The sequence below is a fragment of the Homo sapiens genome, chromosome 7, assembly GCF_000001405.40.
Source record: "Homo sapiens chromosome 7, GRCh38.p14 Primary Assembly".
Lineage (NCBI taxonomy): Eukaryota > Metazoa > Chordata > Mammalia > Primates > Hominidae > Homo > Homo sapiens.
In genome coordinates, this window is record NC_000007.14 from 25849713 (window position 1) to 25870710 (window position 20998).

General features: G+C 42.1%; 3 annotated features.

Moving 5' to 3' along the window:
• Positions 2087–2136: a silencer, noted in NCBI's record as "silent region_18025". NCBI's record gives its function as "represses an Ori minimal core promoter by ATAC-STARR-seq in GM12878 lymphoblastoid cells {active_cell/tissue: GM12878}" and the evidence as "EXISTENCE:reporter gene assay evidence [ECO:0000049][PMID:35858748]".
• Positions 7026–7105: an enhancer, noted in NCBI's record as "active region_25770". NCBI's record gives its function as "activates an Ori minimal core promoter by ATAC-STARR-seq in GM12878 lymphoblastoid cells {active_cell/tissue: GM12878}" and the evidence as "EXISTENCE:reporter gene assay evidence [ECO:0000049][PMID:35858748]".
• Positions 12944–13053: a silencer, noted in NCBI's record as "silent region_18026". NCBI's record gives its function as "represses an Ori minimal core promoter by ATAC-STARR-seq in GM12878 lymphoblastoid cells {active_cell/tissue: GM12878}" and the evidence as "EXISTENCE:reporter gene assay evidence [ECO:0000049][PMID:35858748]".

Below are 20998 nucleotides of genomic sequence, written 5' to 3' on the forward strand. Positions count from 1 at the left end.
GCCCTTGGTGTGAGGGGACTGAAAATTATTGCTCTTCAAAAGGGCAGGGGAAAATGAAAGGAAGGATTATATCTGCCTGAACTGCCAAACCAAACTCTGAGAAGCAGATTCTCCAGAGAGTGACTCAGGCCCACATGATGTTTGTTGGGGATGATGTTTTCACTGGGAGGCGAAGTGTGCATTTGCTTATCTGGCCAAAGGCTACTCAACTTATGTGGCCAGCCCACCCCACAGCAAACGTGTACAAGGGTTCTTGTTTCTCCCTGCTCAGAGCTGCATTTTCTCTCTCTACAGCAGTCATTAGAATAAATAAAACCCATATAATCAACATGAGAGGAAGAGGACATATTTTTGTAATGCACGCGGGGGAGGAGGGTGGTTTTTAAAACACCAGGGACACCGCGAATGCCACAGTTATTATGTCAAGGCTCATGAGGTCAAAGTCAGTTAATAATTCCCGATTATTCTCTTAAAGATGACTAACACACAGCCCAATGCTAACAGTTTTCATATTTTAATGATCTTCCATAGAGTTTTCTAATTTATTCAACCTCAGCAGATTCCATTTCTTCATAAAAATAAAGTATTTTTCATCACAGAGGAATAACTTCAAGTTTTTCTTCAGGGATGAGAATCCAAAATCCTGACTCTGCCTGCCATGCTACTGAGCTGTCTCCATTTATCTCTCTGAAATTTTTTGGCTTACAGATTAAAGCATTAGAGGAAAAGAAACTATAAACATAAAAGAATAATAAAGATCATGATTTGTTTAATTTTTACATTCTTATTATTAAGACAGAATTTAGGAAGCAAAACTGCACTTTATCACTTTAAAATATACCCCCAAAATCACTACACTAAAGGCATTATAAAGGGTGACATTGTAAGAATATTTAATTGACATGATTTGGGAGGAAGGGCTGGCAGCACACAAGGAAGAATCGAATGTGAAAGAGAATTTGGTTAATTTTAAAATGTTATCCAAGTAATTACAGTCATTATACTTTCCTGCGGCGCAGCAAAGAAGTAAAAATATCAAGCTCTCCCGCAAATTTTCCAATATATACATACTGTTAAAACATACACATGTGCACACAAACACGTACAGTGAAACCAGATTTTGGAGTTTATCGCTTGCCAAGGTTCACCCCAGAGCAAATATTTACTGCGGAGTTACAAAATTTTCCTGAAGGAGAACCAAAATGGAAGCGTTTACATATGCTGCAAGTACTTTGTGTGCGCAGGGGCCACAAGAAAGATATAGTTTAATAAAAACATTTATGGATTTTGAAAGCAAACACAATCCAAGAGTCTTGCACATGTGGGAAAAGATGATATTCCAGCCTAACACGTTCTCTCTTGAAGATCTTTTGGCTGTTTGCAGTGAGCAAACCCCAGTTTCCTCTGGGGCCCCGCTAATCTATATTGTAAACCATTCTCAGGAAACAAATGAAAGAACCATCCGACACTGCCCTCGGAGACAGCGGCAGGGATGCGGCTCTGCTCTACAGGCAGACAGAAACTTCCCAGGATGGGCGAAGGTGGCTGCTGCATGAAGAACTGGGGTTCTCTAACCTAAACCTTCGCCACCTCCTCTTCCTATCAGGAGAATCTCTCTTAACTGATTTCCTCTGCATTCTCTCACCTCCCGGGCTACCTCCCACTTCACCATCGCAAAACGAACCCGATATTTGCAAAACTTAGGAAAAGACACACCGGCGTGCGGCCCACTGTTTCCATGCCTTTTGCCCCATGGCCTGAGAACCCACTGTATGCATGGCCTTAGAACCAAAGTTTTGCACTTCAAGTGAGCTTTGTTCACGTTCGCCCCATTTTGTTCTGCCATTAGGTCTTGCGGGTGCGCTAGCCTGCTCTTCATTAGTGCTTTTGTGCCTCATTCTTTATGAACCCCGGGCTGCATCCATCTACCTTAGCGCTAATGATCAAACGGGGGATCTTGAAATCACTCTGCGCAATTTACAAATCACACAAACTGGAAAAAGGAATTCACGCCAAATTGGACAAACTTTTGGAAAGGCCTTGTGGAGCCTTGCTCCTCTATCCTTGGGCTCTATTGCCCCCTGGTGGTTTCTCCGAGACAAACGCGGCCAGGGCTCAGCTCCGAGGCTCAGGTGTCCTGCCCTGCGGGCTGGAGCTGCTCTCTGGGACGCAGTGGGGCTGACTCGCGGGTGGGGAGGGAAGGAACCGGCAGTACGAAAATAAACGTGGAAGAAAAGGGAACTTGGGGACATTTGTCCGGCAAAAAGGGTTCAGGCTTCTCCACCTAAAACAAAAGAACATTAGAGCTGTACAAAAAAATGCGGAGATCCTAAAACAGCCCCCTCTTTCTACAGACGAGAAACTGAGGCACAGAGAGATGATGTGATTTGCCCAGTCACATCATCTGGTTGTTTATGGCTAATCTCACCAACCCTGGTCATGCTGCTTTTGGGGGATGACAGGGTTCGGGGCTCCAGGCGGCCGGGAAAGTGTGATGAGTTGGCCTTATTCTGTTGAAGACGCAAAGGAGTGATCAAATAAGGAAACCAGCAGCCTGGGAGATTTGTGTTCCAGGCCCCAGTGAACCCGTTACAGGGTGGGACTGGGTGGAGCAGCCTTCAGGCCGCCCCGGCCCCTCGTGGGAATGCGCCGCGCCCCCCGGACTCTGGAGCGGCCCGACCCTGCTTCCCAGGCCCCGGGCAGGCGGGCGGGCGAGACACAAAGCAGGCCCCGCGGGCGGTGCTCCGGGTTTCGCGAGGGCGGCGGTGCGCTTGATTGATGGATTCACGGCGTTTAACCCCCGCCGCCTCGCCGGAGGCGGCCGATCCAGCTGCGGCCGAGGGCCTAGGGTGGCCATGGGCCCGGCCCCCGCGTCCTCCGCGCCCCCGCCCCGGCTCGGGAGGGCTGCCCCCCGGGAGTGGAGAAAGGCTGATTTACAGCCGGCCGGCCGCACTCTTGCAAAATCACTGCGGCCGGGGAAACCCACTCCCAGGACTCAGCCCGGAAGAGGCCCTGAAGGGGAGCGGAGACTGGGCGCTGGGGTGGGGGCGGGGGCGCCGAGCCTCAACTTCCCGCGTCTGCTGGAAGCTTGCTCTGAGCGCCGGCTGCGGCGTTTTCCCGCCTTCTGCCCACGTTTTCGCCCGGGAGTGGGTTTCAGGAGAGCTGGGGACAGCGGCATCCCTCGCCCTGGGACCGTTGCCCCTGCGCCCGCCGCCCTGTGCCTGGGCCTTTGCACCCGGAGCGCCCCGCGCCCCAGCGCAGTCGTCCCCACGCGCCGGGATCGCCAAATTCCCACCTGGGGCCCGCCTTTACTGGGGGGCTGCAAAAGAGACTTAGAAGCAGAGATTCGGGAGGGGAGCTGATAGCTCCCGAGTCCTAAGCCACGCCTGGACAGCCCACAGGTCCCATCTCCATTTGTTTAAACACTTTTTGCCCCGTTTTCTGCAGGGCAGAAGACAAATATTAAGAGAGCAAGATTGTGCTTAGAAACTTAAGGTTCTCTTTTAAAAGACTCGTTCCTTCAGGTCTTCCTTCTTACCACCTAAGGGAAAAAAGTACCCCCTAAAATTCTTGCTTTACTTTTAGCAATTCTTACTTCAGTTTTACTATTGATACCCTCCGATCTTTTTCAAGAGGAAAAAAAAGCCAGATAGTGAAATAAAATAAGAAACGTATGGTTTCAACTTGAACTAACGAATCAGAAGTGTTGATTCTAAACTAAAAAGTGTTACTACTTTTTTTGCTTATATGTGCCTGGGTAGGATGAGTTTTCCTACAGCCTGCGAAGTTGGTCACTAGAAACAGGGGCTGGTGAAAATGTGCAGATTCTTGCCCTGCAGACACTAAGGATCTGGTGCTGGGCTAGAAAATTCACCCACAGTTAGGATGTCAGAGGGAGATATAAGTAAACGTCGGCACCCAACTCATTAGTTTCTGGCTAAATAAAAGTCAACCGACAGAGCACAAAACAACAGATCCAATGAATCCACCTTCTTGTAAAATGAGGGCTAATGGCTGTATTCTGAAAGATTTTTTTAGGTAGACTTATTTTTAAAGGCCGGTTGCAATTTTAAAATGCATAATTATAGGGTAGAGTAATCAAAAGTGAGTGTGCAATTATTCTGCTTGTATAAATGGGAGAAGAAGTCATGAAGTTTCCCAGCTAGAGAGCTGTCGACCTGTAAAATGTAAAAATGTACATCTAAAGCTGTGAAACTTCTCACTTGAGTACAGTATTTTCTTCTTTCCTCCCGTCTCCCTCTGCAAATACCGTAAGTTCTTATTCTGACCTTGATGTGGGGACAGCACGAACCCTTCTCTTCCTGATAAACCCAAACAGAAAAGCAGATATAAAAGGAGAGGCAGATGAGAAGTGGAGGTCTACACTTTCCAGGGTTCCACCCTCAAATCCCCCGCCGAGGTTGGCAAAACAAAGATTCTGCCCCCTACTACAGTGACTTGTGAGTGGAAAGAAAGTCTTGCCTATCTGTCATAGGGACCCCAAAATGAATTCCTAAAAAAGCAACGCTGCTCTAACAGCAACTGGATCGGAAAGCAGAGAAAGCAGAGATGCAACCTCGGCCCTGTGGCTCCGGCCAGGCTCTGCTCCAGTGAGACCACTCGCTGGGAAACTGAGTTTCCCCCTCGATTTCAGTTTAGTCCCTAAAAAGTTCGCCCGGCCCTGCAAACACCACGCTCAGAAACGCAGCGGCCTCTTACTCTTACCTTTTTAAAGCGTGCTTAAGGTGCTTACTTCGCTTAAGGAAATATTTTTGCAAACACTTTCACTGGATGAATATTTTACTCGCAAACTTTCCTGGGCAAAATCTCCGGAGGAAGTTTCACATTAAAGCAACAACCAACAAAGCTTATTTTTGTAATATGTGGCTCTCTAACAGTGCCAGTATGTTCTCACTTCATTTAGTTATAAAATATAAAAGTGTTTGGTTTTCAATTTTTCTAAATTACTTGCAGGGTACAAGGTGGGGGTGGAGATGGTGAGAAGGGGATCCTTATGCCATCTGGCGGTGCCATGTGGAACTTCGCTGAAGAAGCTAAATTTACTGACCATCTGTGCCTAGAGCGGGTTTCTCCAAGGAAAGGCTCTGTAAATCTCGTCCTTTTGAAATCTAGGGGAAAACAGCCTCCTTCACTGAGGATTAATTTAAAGAAAGGGGGAAATAGGAAAATTCCATGCGTTGGAAGTCCATTTAGATTTCTACATGAACCATCATATATGTGCACTACATAATTCTTATTTTTTTATTTTTAAAAAAGGGATAATTTATATTCCAGTGACAAGTTTGGGAAAGGCCAAGGCAAGCAATTGAGTTGAACATTATGTAGCGTTTATATAGACCTTGCAGACGTCTGTGCAATATCCACCACTGAACACGTGAGGTCGTACTCAAGTCTCTCTGGCCCCTGGTAATGTGACTCCCTTCCTTTATTTGCATGAATCGCCTGGATTGGGTGTCAGGTTTTTAAAACGTCAAGGTTTACGCCTATTGTTGTCAACCAATCAGCATCCTACTTTGACGTGATTGGCTTCTACTGTAGGTGTCAATCATCCAAAATTTGCATACTACTCCTCAGGCCGCCGGGAGCCTGTCAGTCGGCTGTGGCAGCTGGAAGAGAAGGAATCGGACGGAGAAGAATGAAAAATCACTTTGCTTTCGCAAAGCGAAAGAAAAGTATTCTTTTCCTCATTATTTTTAAATAAATTTGATTGTATATTTACCTAATAAAATAAACATTCAATTAAACAAAAATAAGCAACTATCAAAGATTTGTTTACTAATTTTCGTAATGTTTACTGTTTCAATAAGTAGCCAAAGGAATATTAAAACACAAAAATATGAATGCTGATAATTTTATGTCATAAAGACCATTTTAAAACTAAAAGTGAACATGGGGTTTCTAAATAAAATTACCGTGGTAGCGTAAAAACACTGCTTTCAATACTTGGGCATGCTGAAAGTGCTGCATCCTAAGATAAAAAATACACCAAGGGGGGGATTTCAAAGAACATTATTTTGCTTTTAATAATCCTGTATTTCTGTCACTTTGCCCTTTTTATTTATTTACCGTGAACTCACAGACAGAATATTACTTGGAGTTTCTGAAATACTTGTGTTTGTACATTTCTCATCTTACACGTACCCACACACCCCAAAATAAAAAAACAAAGAAGAGGATCTCAGGGACTGAGAAGTCATTACCGGTTTTAAAATTCAGAATTCGTAAAACCGAAGCTCTAATTTGTCAGTTACAAAATTCTTCTAGAACCACTGTAATTTAGAATATGTGCAGAACTATAAGATGTTTATTATTTCTTTAAAATATATGTGAGTACAAACCAACAAGTTAACAGCTTATAATAGGAAAGCACTCTCCAGACTTCTGCCCATCTCCATCACGCCGCGGAAACTTGTCTGAAAGGAGAATTTGGATGCAACAGGGCAACGGAGCGACGTTTCTCCTCTGCACTAAGCCAGCCCTCGCCTCTGAAGAATTTTGTACTAGGCGTTCACTAGCACTGAGATGAACTGGAATTATTTCCACAGCATTAACCGAGTTAGGAAGTTTTTTTCAAACTTTGCATTTAACGGATTTTTTCCATCGGCATTTTATCTTTGCCACCATCGTTTTACTGGTTGCTGCATCTTTCTAGTTTTCTTTCCTTTTCTTTTTTTCTTGCTCTTATTCTACCTTTCTTTGCTTTCTCTCTCTCTTTTTTTTTTCTCCCAGTTAAGGATTGTCACAGTGTGCCGGGTGTCTTTGTAAGTTCGTCCCTCGTCTTCATGATTACAAGAGGCTGATATATGTGTACCTGTGCCTACAGGGGAACTGAACAGGGCTAAGTGAGTGCTGAGAGGAGCTGGGGGAGAGATGTGTGCTGCAGATGAAGGTACGGCTGGGATGTGAAGCTAATTTAGTGTGTGCTTTACAAGGAATGCACAAATCAACACAGCGCTCAAATTAAATCTCTTCTTGAGGGGCTTAAGTATCTTCTTCAGGAAGAGTAAAGCATGTCTTCTAGTTCTACTTCCTTCCCGGTTAGCCAGCTGCTGGAGAGCCCCCTCAGTAAATTCCTTCCAGATCGACCTCAGTGTGGGTGAGAGCGCAGTCTGTGACCACCAGCGCTTCTGACTCAGCGGAAAACGCCGGCAAACAGGACTACACCTCACCGCGGCGGCAAAAGCGGCCTCAGCTCCAGCACTCACAGCCACCACTTTCACCGTCGCCCCGCCACCACCACCTTCGCTGCCTCAACCCTGAGAGAGACACACACACACACACACACACACACACACACACACACACGCACGCACGCACGCGCGCGCGCACAAACACCTCTCCCTGCTGTCAATCATACATGCGCGCCATAGCGCGCATGCGCACTGGTGGACTCCAGCCCCCACCGATCCTACGCCCTGTCTCTGCGTCTGGGACCAGACGCACCAATAAGAGAGCGGATTCGGGGGCGGGCCACAAGGAAGTAGCCAATGAGAGCGCGGTTGGAAGCCAGGGCTAGAGAGGAGTAAATCCTTCTGTCGTCCCCGTTCTGCCGCCCCCGCGATGATTTATGCGTCCTTTTTATTATTTGTAACACTTTGGGAAGTTATTAAAAGGAAGATCTACTGCTTCCTCCTTTTGGGTTAAACTGGATGGCAATGTTTGTCACTGGCCCTTATTAGAGAAGAGTGTGGCGAGGTGGAGGGCCGTTGGACGCTGGGTTTGTTTGTGTGGGTCTTGTTTTTTATTACAAGACACATTATCCTTTTAATTACAAGCTGTAGACAGGGCCAACTTCGAAGGTCTTCGTGGCGGAGTGATCTTGGATCATTCAGGGGGCTGAAACCCGATGCCTTCTGACTTTCGCGTCCGTACTCTTGGCGTTGGGAGGAGCCTCTCAGGAAGGTGTTGCAACCTTTGGTTGTACCAGAAGGAAATAAGCAAACTCCCATCACCCCCACCCCCATTCCCCGCCCTAACACGGAGTAAACTTCGGCCTTTTTCCGCTTGGATGCTCATTAAGAGTTAGTTGACTTTGTAGCGGATGCAATAAAATTTGGATGGTTTCAGGCCCCCAAACAATCCTGGTTTCTGTTTTCCTCTCTCCCTAGGCACACCCCCAAGGAAATTGCCTTTTCAGCAGGCGCCTGCGGGAAAGAACCGCAGGAGACAGATTCCCTTTAGAGATCTGCATGGGGAGGAGGGAGATATGGAAATAAAGAGGGCCAAGGTAAGAGGACGGAGAGGCCATAGAGGACTTGCATGTTTGGGTGTGAGTTTTCTGGCCAACTAGGGGGAAAATCCACAAACCTGAGGTATCTGGTGGATGCGCTGAAAAATTAGCTCTCACCTGCAGAGTTACTCAACCCTCGTGCGCTTCTGCTCTGCCGGGAAGGGCCAGTCTCCGAGGGCGGAATAAGTATGGGTATTGAAAGGCAAGTAGGAAACAGCAAAAGAAAAGAACAGATACAAATTTTCTACTCCCGACCTCCAAACCAAAATCGCACTTTCAAACGTAAAACGCAATTCCAAGAAGACTGGGATGTAGGGAGTATGCGATGCCTCTGTTCAATAGGTCACTGTCAGGAACTTCAGTTTCTGGTGTTCAGATATTTGTATTTGAAATTAAGAAAATCAACGCAGGAGGGGTTGCTGGAGGATAAAGTGGGGTGACGAGAGACCGAAGGAGGGGGAGGAGGAGAGGGGTAGAAGGAACCAAGAACCATCTGATGGCAGAACTGGGCTGAAGGAAAACAAAACCGTGAACTTCAAAGCTCAGGCCTAATCTCCCTCAGGTTAATTTCTGCTTCCTAAAAAGTTTGATCAGGGTCATAAATCACTCGGTCCACCCTTGCCGGTCCTGCCTGGTTCCCCAAGGTTCTCTCCCCGCAGCCCGCTGCAGGGGCGCAGGGTGAGTCTCCAGCCCAAGACCGTCTGAGGCTTCCCGGGGCAGGAGGGCTCCCGGGGCTGAGTGGGCGCACGGATGCGCGAGAATCCGCGTGCGGGGGAAGCGGGGAGGCGAGGGTCTAGGGAAGGTGCTGGCAGTGTTGCGGGCCAGACTGTGGAGAGATCCCGTGCAGATGCAGTTTCCATTCCGTCCGGCCTCAAAAAAAAAAAAAAAACCTTCAAGTGTGTCTGGCGTGCTGTTTGAAGAAGGTTACAGCGTGTTTAGAGATTTGCAAAGCTCTGCCGAGCAGTAAAGATTAGAAAGGCCTGCCTGAGATTTGTCAAATGACTTCCGGTAGCAGAGCCCCCAGTAAACAGGGAGGGCCCGGCAGCCTCAGATCTTGGCTCGGTCGGGGCCTGTAACTCCAGGCTGCACGGCGCGGAATTGGTACGGCCGCACCAGGCGCGCTGCGAGGAGGATGGGCCTGGCCGGGGACCCGTGGAGGATCCGCCTCCAGTCCCGAGGAGGTCCCCGTTTTGTGGCTGTAGTGATGTGGCGTAAAAGTCAAGTCGTGGACTTTTCTATTGGCCTTTCCGTGCAGGAAGCCCTAGATGTAGACCAAGCACTAATTTGGTGAATTTGTAGACCAACTTGACTGAAAGGCTCGGGGAAATGTCACCTAGATGAGTCTGACCCTCCCTAAATGAAAGCCATCTTGGAGGAGGCCAGGGAGTGAAATGGCTGGGGAAGGCCCGGCAGGTCTTCATCATAAGAGTCCACGTTTCTCAGCAGTAACGATAATATTTTAAAACAAAGCAAAACAACATTGTCAAAAAATCTAGGAGACAGTGATCACTGCGGTCAGGGGCGCTTAGTGGGCCGCAGCTCATAGGAATGCTGGGGTTTCCCAGATTCTTCCCAGACGGGCATCGCTTTCCTCTAGGAATGACAGTTTCCGCCTTGGCTCGCCTCAGAGGTGCGCATCAGAGCCAGCTCAGGAAGCCACTACCTGTCACAAAACCGACCACACCATTCTGGTTTACACGGAGCATATAGCTTGGGGTTACCCAGCTAAAATAAATAACTGAAGGGAAATTGTTGGTCAAGAAAAACAAAAGGAAAAATATATAATAAAAGGGGTATCTATTGTTGGACGTGAGACGGGTCCCTCTACACACGGGAAGACGAGGCAGAGGAGATGTTGTTAATGCCCCTGGGTATTAGATACAAAGAAGCACAAAAAAAGAAAAAGAGAAAGGAAAAGAAAAAGGAAGGAAGGAAGGAAAGAAGGAAGGAAGGGAGGAAGGAAGGGAGGAAGGAAGGTAGGTCAAGCCTTCTAGAATTTGTTACCCTAGATGAATAATTACTTAGACTCACACACGCAGATGTTTTTTCTGTGAGAAAGAGATTAATATGGTCTGTCCGTAATGTGACATACACACACAGGGGTTGTATTTCCATGTTTTAAAACACAAAACAACTAAAGTTGATCAGTGAGGGACATGTTTTTAACGGTTTAAATGTTTTATGATGGACCAGTAAAAGCAGAGTTAAATTTCAAGACATAATTGACTGGAGATTTGATTATTTCCCCCCATTTCTGAGGGGGAAATAATCCCTTTCCCAAAATAAAGTTATACCATTGATAAAAATAGCGCAGAGGACCGTGAGAGTTAAATAAAGCAGAAAAAAAAAAGACTATGTGTTGCATTGAGGCAAAAATAACGAAATTCAAAGGCAAATTAAAATAAAGCAATGAGGATTTATCTGAGGAACCGCCACGGGCAGAGGAGCAACATCTGTCCCAGATGTCAGACTTCCCTGCAACTTGATCCATGCGTTTCCACTTTGGTTTCTGAACCGAAGGAGGAGTGCCGGCAAGGGAGCGCCCGCAGTCCTGCGGTACAGGGCTGGCGCAGCCTCTGAGTGCGTGTGTGAACTCTGCCAGGAAGCTGTGAGAGCCAGCCCAGGATTCAGTGACCCTGTTTCCCAACCCACAAGGACAAGTACATGGTTTTCTCTCTTATCAATTCCAGCCCCGCGCAACCAAGTGAAAGCAAATGCACTGGACCGCTTCGGAATTAAAATGAATTGCTAAAACCACGGACCGCTCTGTCCGGGGCCCAGACCTGTCTCAACTCGTGGTATTTACATTCCTAGAGCCCGTGCGGAGGAACACGTCGAGGCACGGGTGGCCGCAGCACCCGGCCTCCAGGCCTAGAGTGAAAAATTTTTTAAGATCTGGTTCTCTCCCCGCCGCCTCTGTGGAGGGACTTGGGGGCATTCATCAGTCTGCAATGTTTATTCATTGTTGTAGTACCGAGCTTTCCAAACGAATAGGAAACTTTTACATCCCTTCCTTACACAGATATTTATTATCTGTAGGAATATTTAAGGGGCTGTACTGGGCCGTTCACCTTTGACAGGGGCCGTCACCTCACACTCCAGTGTAATGGACCACACTGCGGCTGCATTTAATTTATTGGGGTGAGAAGTTGCTGCGGGAGGTTTCCAAAGGGGGTCTTTGTCACGAAGAGAGAGGCTCTGGTCCAACCCCGTAGGTGCTTAGAAGATTATATTTTGGCCTCGGAATAACACAACCGAACACAACTCAAAATATGAAAGACATTTCCTTAAGGTGTGGGTTCTGATACCGGAGTTCACAGATATTTAGGAGTCTATGGAGTGGCCTTAGGCGGTCAGGAACTCCCTGAAATGAAATGCTGCATTTTGGGTGGCGGTCATGTGGCTCCTTAACTTTTTTTTTTAAATTAAATTCTGAAAAGAGTCTGTGACTACTATCCACAGATGAAGAAAAAAAATCATTAAGAAGTCATAGTTGAAAATTACACCAAGGGCTCGGAAGTTTTGCACTGAGCCTGAATAGAGGAAACCTGAGAACTGGTATAATTAACAACCAAATAAGCATGATTTTTCACTTGCTTTAAGGCAAAAGATCAAAACGAGCATTACTGAAATCCTTTAAAAAGCCATGCTGTTGTGATAAACGCAAGAGAGCTCAGGGACCTGGCAACCGGCTACCTGGTGTTAATATCAATGCATTTTTAAACCAAAATGCTTCATGACTCAATTTTCCCTCTAAACTTCAAGGCAACCCAAGCTCTCTTAATATTGTCATTACCACGGCCCAGAGAGGGAACCCGATCCGATGTGGTTCTAAAACAAAATGGGATATTAACCGTGTTTGTTTTCACTTTGATCTATAGGAAATAGGTCCTGCACCCTGTGACCCATTAAACTAATAAGATTATACACATCAGCAGAGCGGAGGTTCTAATTGTTTCCATCTGTCCCAGATCTTTGCATTTTAAAATTGATGAAAATAAGACATGATTTACAAAAAACAAAATATATTGAGAGTGAAAATGTGACAAAAGTGAGCCCCTCGGACCACACATGCAACCAATTACTGAGAAAATAAATAGATGTATATGGTGTGGCGCTTTTGGAAGAAGAAAAACCGAAGCACGAAACATAATCATTGAATTGATCTGGGGGTACTCACTCATTTCATAAAGCTAACACTTGCTTGAAAACACCAGCCAATCAGAAGCGTTTCCGGAAGACACTCTACACCTCTCCGCCTCTTCATAAATATTTAAACCGCTTCTTTCTAGATTTGTCATTTAAATCTACTAGGGAATGTGCCTCAAGGGCTCATCTTTCACTGGGTCGCTCACACAGAGGTGGGGCGAGAGGGAGGAGGCGCATTAGCCCTGCGCTCTCATTTGCTTAAACGGCCTTCTTACGTCATCGTAAGCCTAAGCCAATCCGTGAAGTGCACTTTGACAAGCTACCCGCCCCTAATTTGTCCTTTCACCGCCAGCCTAAGCCAATAGTGTGGCTGCATGTAAATGAGAAACCGCGAGCATCTCCCCCCGCCCCCGGCTCCGCCCAATTTCCCACCTCTTCCCGGAGCGCACAGACGCCAGCTGAGTGGGAGGGGCCTAGCTGCGGGCGGAGCACGGAGGAGGAAGGGCACGAGGAAGAGGCGGAGCGGGCCGAGGCGCGCGGAGCTGGGTTTGCTGAGTGCTTCCTTCCTCGGCCCCACCTCCCGCCGGGCAGGATGCCGTTTGATCATTGGCTGGTTTAATAAAGAGGGCGTGTTTATTTTGCATAAATAGTGGGCGGGCACCCAGGGCTGCTTTGTAACTCGAGAACCCGGTGTCCCGCCTGTCTCCCGGGGGGTATGGGCGGGTCTCCCGCCAGCCTCGCCAGACTGAGCCAAGGGCCTGAAGGAAATAAATGGCTTTCTGAAAAAATTCGTCTTAATTCGCCCTTTTGAGAGAATTCTGTTTCTAAATGCATTTTTTTCGTTGGTTCTTACAAGTCGTTAAGAGTTGTAACATGAAATAAGTAGAGATCACCAATCTATCCGCCCCCAAATTAATTTTATTTTAATCTGTGTAAGGGCCACTGCTCCTGGCTGGCCGTGTGTGAAGCAAAATTTTTGTGCAATAAAAATTATTCCTTCACTAGAATTCATTTTTTCCTTTGCTATGAATTCCCTGTCTTCCTAATTTTCCACTAGCAGAGCTAGGGAGAGCCGAGTTGCACTGAAGCAGAGAAAGGATGGAAAATTCTTTCGAGCTAAGCATTTATGAATTGCTTATGAATGATGTATGTGTTAAAATTGTTTCCAACAGTAAAATGCCCCAGGGATACTCGGTTGACAGTTTTTTAATAAGAGAATTCTTCTTGTGATTGATTTGATCTTTTTTTTTCTTTTTTCTTCTTTTTTTTTTTACAAAAATTTTCCCTGTTTTAGGTCGAACTGAACATAGACGTACCTTTTCACGATTTATGAAATAAGATGTCAAGTGACAAATACCTGGAAAATGAAAGGATGAACACGATCTTCAGGAACCTAAGTTTTAAAACATATTGTCTGCGCGTTTATACTGGGTAACATTTTTACAGTTTTCAGAAAAGTTATTATGGTAGTTTGTTTGCTCCAAATTAAATTTGGAAGTCTTTGTTCCTTAATTTGGATTACATTTTAAAATCTGAGTTGTCAACAAGGCCGTTTCACGAAAAAAAAAGTAAGAAAGAATTACTTCTTTTGGCAGGCTATGGGCCTTTATTTAAACAGAAATTAAAATTCACAGCCAAAATTCTTTCTCTCTCCACTGGAAAACAAATTACACCTTTCCGATTCTGCAATTTCTGGGCCTCCAGCACAGAAATGATAGAGGATTCCGAAGAATTTCTGTATTAGTAAGAAGTTAAGAGTGCTCTCAGTGGAGAATAATGGTTTGTGGAAAATTATAAGATCAAGGGGAATGGAAAAGTTTTCTTGTTAGGTCAGTATGGTGTAACGTTTATTCTTCTAAATACTTTTTGACATGTAACAAAGGTAGGAAAATTTGCTTAATTACTGTCTTTTTAAATTTACATCAGTATGTGGATTACATTTAACTCAATTCATATTTAATTTTGTAGTCTTAAAAGTAAATAACTTGAGGCATTATTTTATGCCTCCTCCATGAAATTATATCCAGAGACATTATTCCATTGCTAACAAGTGATTCAGTGTTAAAAATAAATGTTAATTCCTATGATATTCCAAGCAATTACAGTAATGTATATCCATCTTAAAGCCAAAAACATTGTCAGTTGATAATTTGTCAAATTGTTATTTGAAATTGAACTCTAGGTAAAGTAGAGTAATAAAACATTAGCACTTTTATACACCTGGTTCTTAGTAATTATAAAAAGTTAATTTTACAATCTACTAGGAAATAATTACATTTTAGTGTTAATTTTAGGCGTTAGCTTTATATGACTGTGTTAGTGCTGTTTTAATAAGCTTTGGGGTAATGAATAAAGTACTATTATAATTTAAGTAATATAACTAAGCATTAAACCCAAACTATTTATTATTTAAACCAGACTATCATGTTATTTTTCATTTTTCTTTAATGAATAAGGTTTTTCTGGTTATGAAGTATATATGTTCCTGAAAAAATCTGAGAAATGCCAAAAGGCATAACAAGAAAAACCCAAAATGTTTATATGTATTCTCACAATCAGTAAGTAAATCTGTTTCCTATATTTTCTTCCTATCTTTTTCTATGTATTAGTAGTGAGGTCATTTTTTTGTTTTGCTTTAGTACGAAATTCCAGTTGGGTTCTATATTAAGAACTTGCTTCTCAAAGCTCAGATTTATTTTGTTCTTATTTTCTGCTTGGACTATAATTTGACTTTGTAAGAATTCACAGTTTTATTACATTCATATTTTTAACTTCTTTTTATTATAAGAAATACACATTCATAAAGTAACCACTCAGAACTACTGAAAAGTAGAAGTAAAATATCATAATGATCTGGCCATAAAAAATTCCCAGTTTGCATTTTTTAAAAACACAGTATTATCATTTATAAATATAAATCATTAATCTTTTGGGTTAAAACAATATTTTCAAAAGTAATTTACTTTTTTGCATATGTTTCAAAGATTTAAAAGTTGCATTTTAACATTCTAATGTAGCAAAGACTAATTTAAGTTTTCTTGTTCAGCTTAACTTCTGTAACCTATGCCAGCAATTCCAATATTGTTCACATAAAATAAACATTTTATCTGAGCTTTACAAAAATGCTTCTTCTTTATATTTTCTATTCTTCTTAATATGCATTTGTTGATTACTCCTCTTTCAAGTCCTGCATGAATGCATAATCACGGCAAACCAACACATAAAAGACATTGGTCTGTTTTCAAATTGCAACATTTTTTCTTTAGCCCAATTATGTTTTACTAACAGCATCTGCTTCCAATCTATTTGCACTTTTAGGAATACTGATTTTTATTAATAGCACCTGAAAATAGCAGCAAACCACAAAGGACATGTAATTAAGAATATCATCAAACAAGTATTTAACAAAATGCATGATTAGCTATGTTTGTGGCCTCTAAATTGAGCAAAAGTACATATCTCACCGTTTCATTTTACAGTCTCTATTTAGTTGTTCCCCATCTTGATATTACGGTTTCAGTAACAAAACAAATAGCCCTGTTTATCATTAAATTGTAAACTCATAACAATACACTGTTTATAATATATCACATATCCTGTAAGTTTCTAAGCCAAATTATTTCATTGTGGTGGCAGATGGTTGTGGAAATCAATCTGTTTTTACATGTTGGTTCTCTCAGCTTACAGTAATAACTAACTCTAACATATTTAAGTGAGGGTTCAAATAATAGAAATGAACCACGTTCCAAATATATAAATTACATTGCCAACTGTGAGAAAGTCGAAATCTGTGTTCCATGTTATTTTATTTAAATTTACGAATTATGTGAAATGGGTAATTCCATCCATTTTTCCAGTATGGTTTTGTAAGAAAAAGACATGGAAATTGATATCTCCATAGAACAGCAACAGTTTAGGCCACTATTTTTATGGATGCAGGGATCCAAGAATTAAATAAGAATACACAGTGACATTTAAAAACATCTCTGAATAAGAACTGATTGACCAATTACATGCTCACAGCTGGAAGGTGTTTGTTTCCATATACTTTTCAAAAGATTGCATTTGCCTTTGTGGACAAACACTATCTCCAAGAAAGGAAATTAAGAACATGAAAGAGGTATTTTGTTTGTTTCAGGTTCCTTTCATTATGGGTATTTTTAAAAAATTTAATACCATGGGCCGGGCGCGGTGACTCACGCCTGTAATCCCAACACTTTGTGAGGCCGAGGAGGGCAGATCATAAGATCAAGAGATCGAGACCATTCTGGCCAACATGGTGCAACCCTGTCTCTACTAAAAATACAAAAATTAGCTGGGCATGGTGGTGCGCGCCTGTAGTAGCAGAAGTTAAACTATTCGGGAGGCTGAGGCAGGAGAATCGCTTGAACCCGAAGACGGAGTTTGCAGGGAGCAGAAATCGCACCACTGCACTCCAGCCTAGTGACAGCGAGACTCTGTCTCAAAAACAAAAAAAAAGAAAAACCATGAATTCACTATTTGAGATATATATATAGAGAGAGAGAGAGAAAGATAATTATATGTCTATCATTTTTTTTCATGAAAACAAGCTATGTTTTGTACCCAGAGTGCCATAATCAAGTAATGAAAACAGACTTGAAAAAATAAGTGGCAGCTTTATTAACAGTTACTGTATTTAGGGATGTTATATTCTGTGGCTGTTTCTAAAAGATGGCAAAGCAGTTATGAAAACTTTAACTTTCATTCGCTATAAAAATGTCATATACAAAAATAAAAACAAAATAGTGCCAGAATACCAGCTTCCCATACAAATACAAAAATGTATCTAAAGGGAGAAAGAAACAGTCTGTCTCCAAAATGTAAAATGAACAAGGTTTTTTTTTTTTTCTTTTAAGTTTGGATTACGTTGAAAATTGCCTCAATTTTTTCTCTTCACATCAGACAGATAAAGTTCAAGTGACTTTTCAAAGTCATATTCAACCCCCCAAAAAACTAAACAATCTTATGTATTTAAGTTAGATTGTAAAATGAATTTTGTATAGAAAAAATTATAAAATATTTACTACATAAGTTCACAGGCTCCAGAGTCCTTGATGCCTCAGCATCTGAGTGTTATTTGTATTTACTATGATGGTGAGCAACAGTATGCCAGGCAAAATTACATTTCTTTGTAAAATTGCCAATTTGAAATAGTACTGTGACTTCCAGAGGTGGTTTGGGACATATTTTTGAAGAAAAAAAAAATCACTCCTAGAAAAAATATATTTAATAATTATAGTTTTTTCTCTCCCTTTTTAGTTTGCCTTCCACAACATATACAAAATGTCAGTATCATTGATAAGAATATTCCAAGGGATATTAGAGGTAAATGAACAGGAGATTGATGACAAAATTCAAATATAAAGTTGTCAGAGAATTCACTGCATCTGGTATCAGCTTGTCCTGATTTTTAAAAGAGTCATCAATATTAAAAATTGTCATCTATGGGCTAGTGCATTTTCCAAACTATATACATATTTTGAAATATTAAAATAATATATGTGCATTGTAGTAAAATTTAAAAGCACAAAGAAAGCAGGGAAGAAAAATTCACTCCCTACGAAAGAAAACCACTACTCAGATCTTGATATATATTTGATATATATTCGATGATATATATTCTTGACATCTTTTTTCTGTGTATGTATTTGCATTTCAAAAAGTTAAATATTGCACATTCTGTTTTGTAAACTGTTGGGGTGTTTTATTAGTCTTGGTAGATGATGGAAATCTTCCCGTGGTCCAGGATTCTTCTATAAGGTGATTTAGATTGGCCAACAGGGCTACTTTCAATGATCACAACTGGATTCATTCAACACATTCCATATTAGGAGATGTTTAAATTGTGTCTAATTTTTCAGCATTGGAAACAGTGCTGCAATGCATATATTCTTACACCTCTGTCAGTGGCTGTAACTATCTTTGTAGGGCACATTTCTATGAGAGATGTTGTTTTTTGTTCATTTCTTTTTTCATTTTTTTCTTTTCTTTCTGCTTTTTTTTTCTTTTTTTCCCTTTTCTTTGGTGTGTTTATATTGCTTTATTTTGTTTTGTCTTCAGATTGGTTGCTTGTTTTTTAACCAAATAAAAGTGATCCAAAAGTGCAATCTTGCTTTTAGAAGCCAAAATATTAAAACATTTAAAAGGCTGAAGTTCCCACATTCCCACTTCCTCCTCCTCAGTTTGCTGCATAGCTTTTGAATCCTCTCTCTATCTATTTACAGGTAACATATATGTATATGTAGAAAATATATCATATGGCTGCATAGTCTTAAATACTGTTATAATAACTCAAATTGCATTTATTCTCAGTGATGGGCATACAGTTGAGCTGAAGGAAAGTGAGAGAGAAATTAAAGGCATGATAATCAAGTGAAGTGATGATATGAGCTAAGCTAAAGAAGGTAGTGTCTTCTTCCATGACTGGAGAAGCCTGCTTAGCATTTTAAAAAAATTAAAAATCATGATCCAAAAATTGTGATCCTACTGCGATGTCAGCCCACAGTTCATTCCACAGACAGAGGTGATGAGAAGCCCCCTGGACTGCCAAGCAGTCATTACTCCTTCTGGAATCAAATCCCTTAGTCCTACTGTGCAGTTGTGTATGCCATTCAGCACCTTCAAAAATTACCTTAGGAAATGTCCAAAAGATTTGTAGAAAATGTACACCAAACTGGAGCTTTTTCTGTATTGATAAGCAATTTTAGAGCTAAATAGAATAGAATTCCCTCAGAAAGTACCAAAGTGCTCAGAAAGAAGTGACAGAACTGAATTTCAAATTTTCTGCTCCCTTTTCCTAGTTTCAGGGATGGCAGAGAGAAGCAGGAGTGTAAGACTTGTGAAGCAGGTAAGTTGCAGTTGAAGCACTCAGGGAAGAGGGCTTACCACGTTGAAGTGCTTCTTGCAGGTATAGCATGATCCCCTGAGCACTGCCTCTTCTTCCCACAACTCCCTCACACTGCCACACATATATTCCCAGCGATAAGCAATGTGTCATGAGGATAGTACAGGAGACAGTGGTGTCATCCTGGTGGCACCTGGTTCTCCTTCCTCCTGACCTTTGTGCCAGGGATGAGCCTCTAACTCTCTGCGTTTCATTCTGAAGTGTTTCCATATAGAAAACATTGTGAACTGTTTTCCATCTCCCCGGGGGTGACTCTTTCCTAATATAAAGGAGGGATATTGTAGGGGATTGAGGTTGGCAATGGAGGATTAAGAAGAAGGGAAGATGAACCGCAATGCAAAAAAATAATAATTTACAGCTCCATTCATTTTTGTTTCTTCTCAAATTTTCTCCCAGTAGATTAATCAACAAAAGTAAACCTACCTAAAACATAGTGCAACTTAGAAATTGACCAATTACTCTTTTTTTTTTTCATTTCTGAGTGTCAAACCAACCCTAAAATGCCATAAAAACAAACTTCCTGTCAATAAAGGAATAAGCTTCAAACTTATGGGAAATACTTTAGAAGCATACTTAGTAGACATCAAATTACTGCTTCAAAACATTCTGATACATCAAACCCAGGAGTATCAGAAACAGATGGGCTCCCTTCCTCTCTATATTTCACACAAACTCCAAAAATAAAGGAAGAGCCTGGAAAAAAAGAAAGCATTTCCATTTGCTCATCCCATGTTTGAAAAATTATTTTTACCCACACCCAACCCATTCTAATTATACAATTTTATTGCAGTGGGGAAATTAATTATTATTGCTTTACTAGAAGGGCTGACACACATTTGATCTTTCAAAAACATCTGACTCTTCTTCAGCCTCTTTTGCAAAGGCATCAAGGCATTTGAAAAAAAAAATCCATAAAAGAACTTCTAGGCTCTGGCATCAGAATTGATGCCACATTGTTTCCAAGCAAACCAAATCTTCACACGTGCATTCTTCTCCAGGTCTACCTCCATGGCACAGGAGGAGGGAGACATTTATCATATTTCCGGTTAATGTGAGCAATAGTGTGCTGAATCAGAGAAATCCCTGCTCTCAACAAAAAGCCACCCAGGTTTTTCTAATTTCTTCCCCAATTTTATGCATTAACTACTAGGTTGATGCAAAAGTAATTGTGGTCTTTGCCATTTTTGTAAAAGTAATAGCAAAAATCTCAATTAGTTTCACACCAACACAATATTTTCCAAACCTTCCTTTTTTTCTGAGCTGTAGAGAAATCTAAGAAGCTATAATTGTATCTATACCTATGTCTATCTATAGAATGTTTATTTTTGTGTCAGAGTGTATGGATTACTGATACGGAAATGTTTGCAGTGGTAGTTTCTGCTTCCATGTGTAAGTATGGTGAAATTCAAGTCCTATTCAGTTGCATTTGTGATAAACATGTATTCTTAAAGATCTCACCCAATCATCACCTTTTCCCCTCTTTAATTGGTCATTCTCTTCTTTTGTCTGGTAAAATCCAGCAAGAGTTAGGATCAAAGATAGAGACCTAAAACCTAAACCAGCTCCTTTCCTCTATCTTCTGCTTATTGAATCAAGAGTTAAAACCGGGTGAATTCAATTACTCCTTTGAGGAACACACTTTTGTTTTGAAAGGCAGATCCCTAAAACCAGCA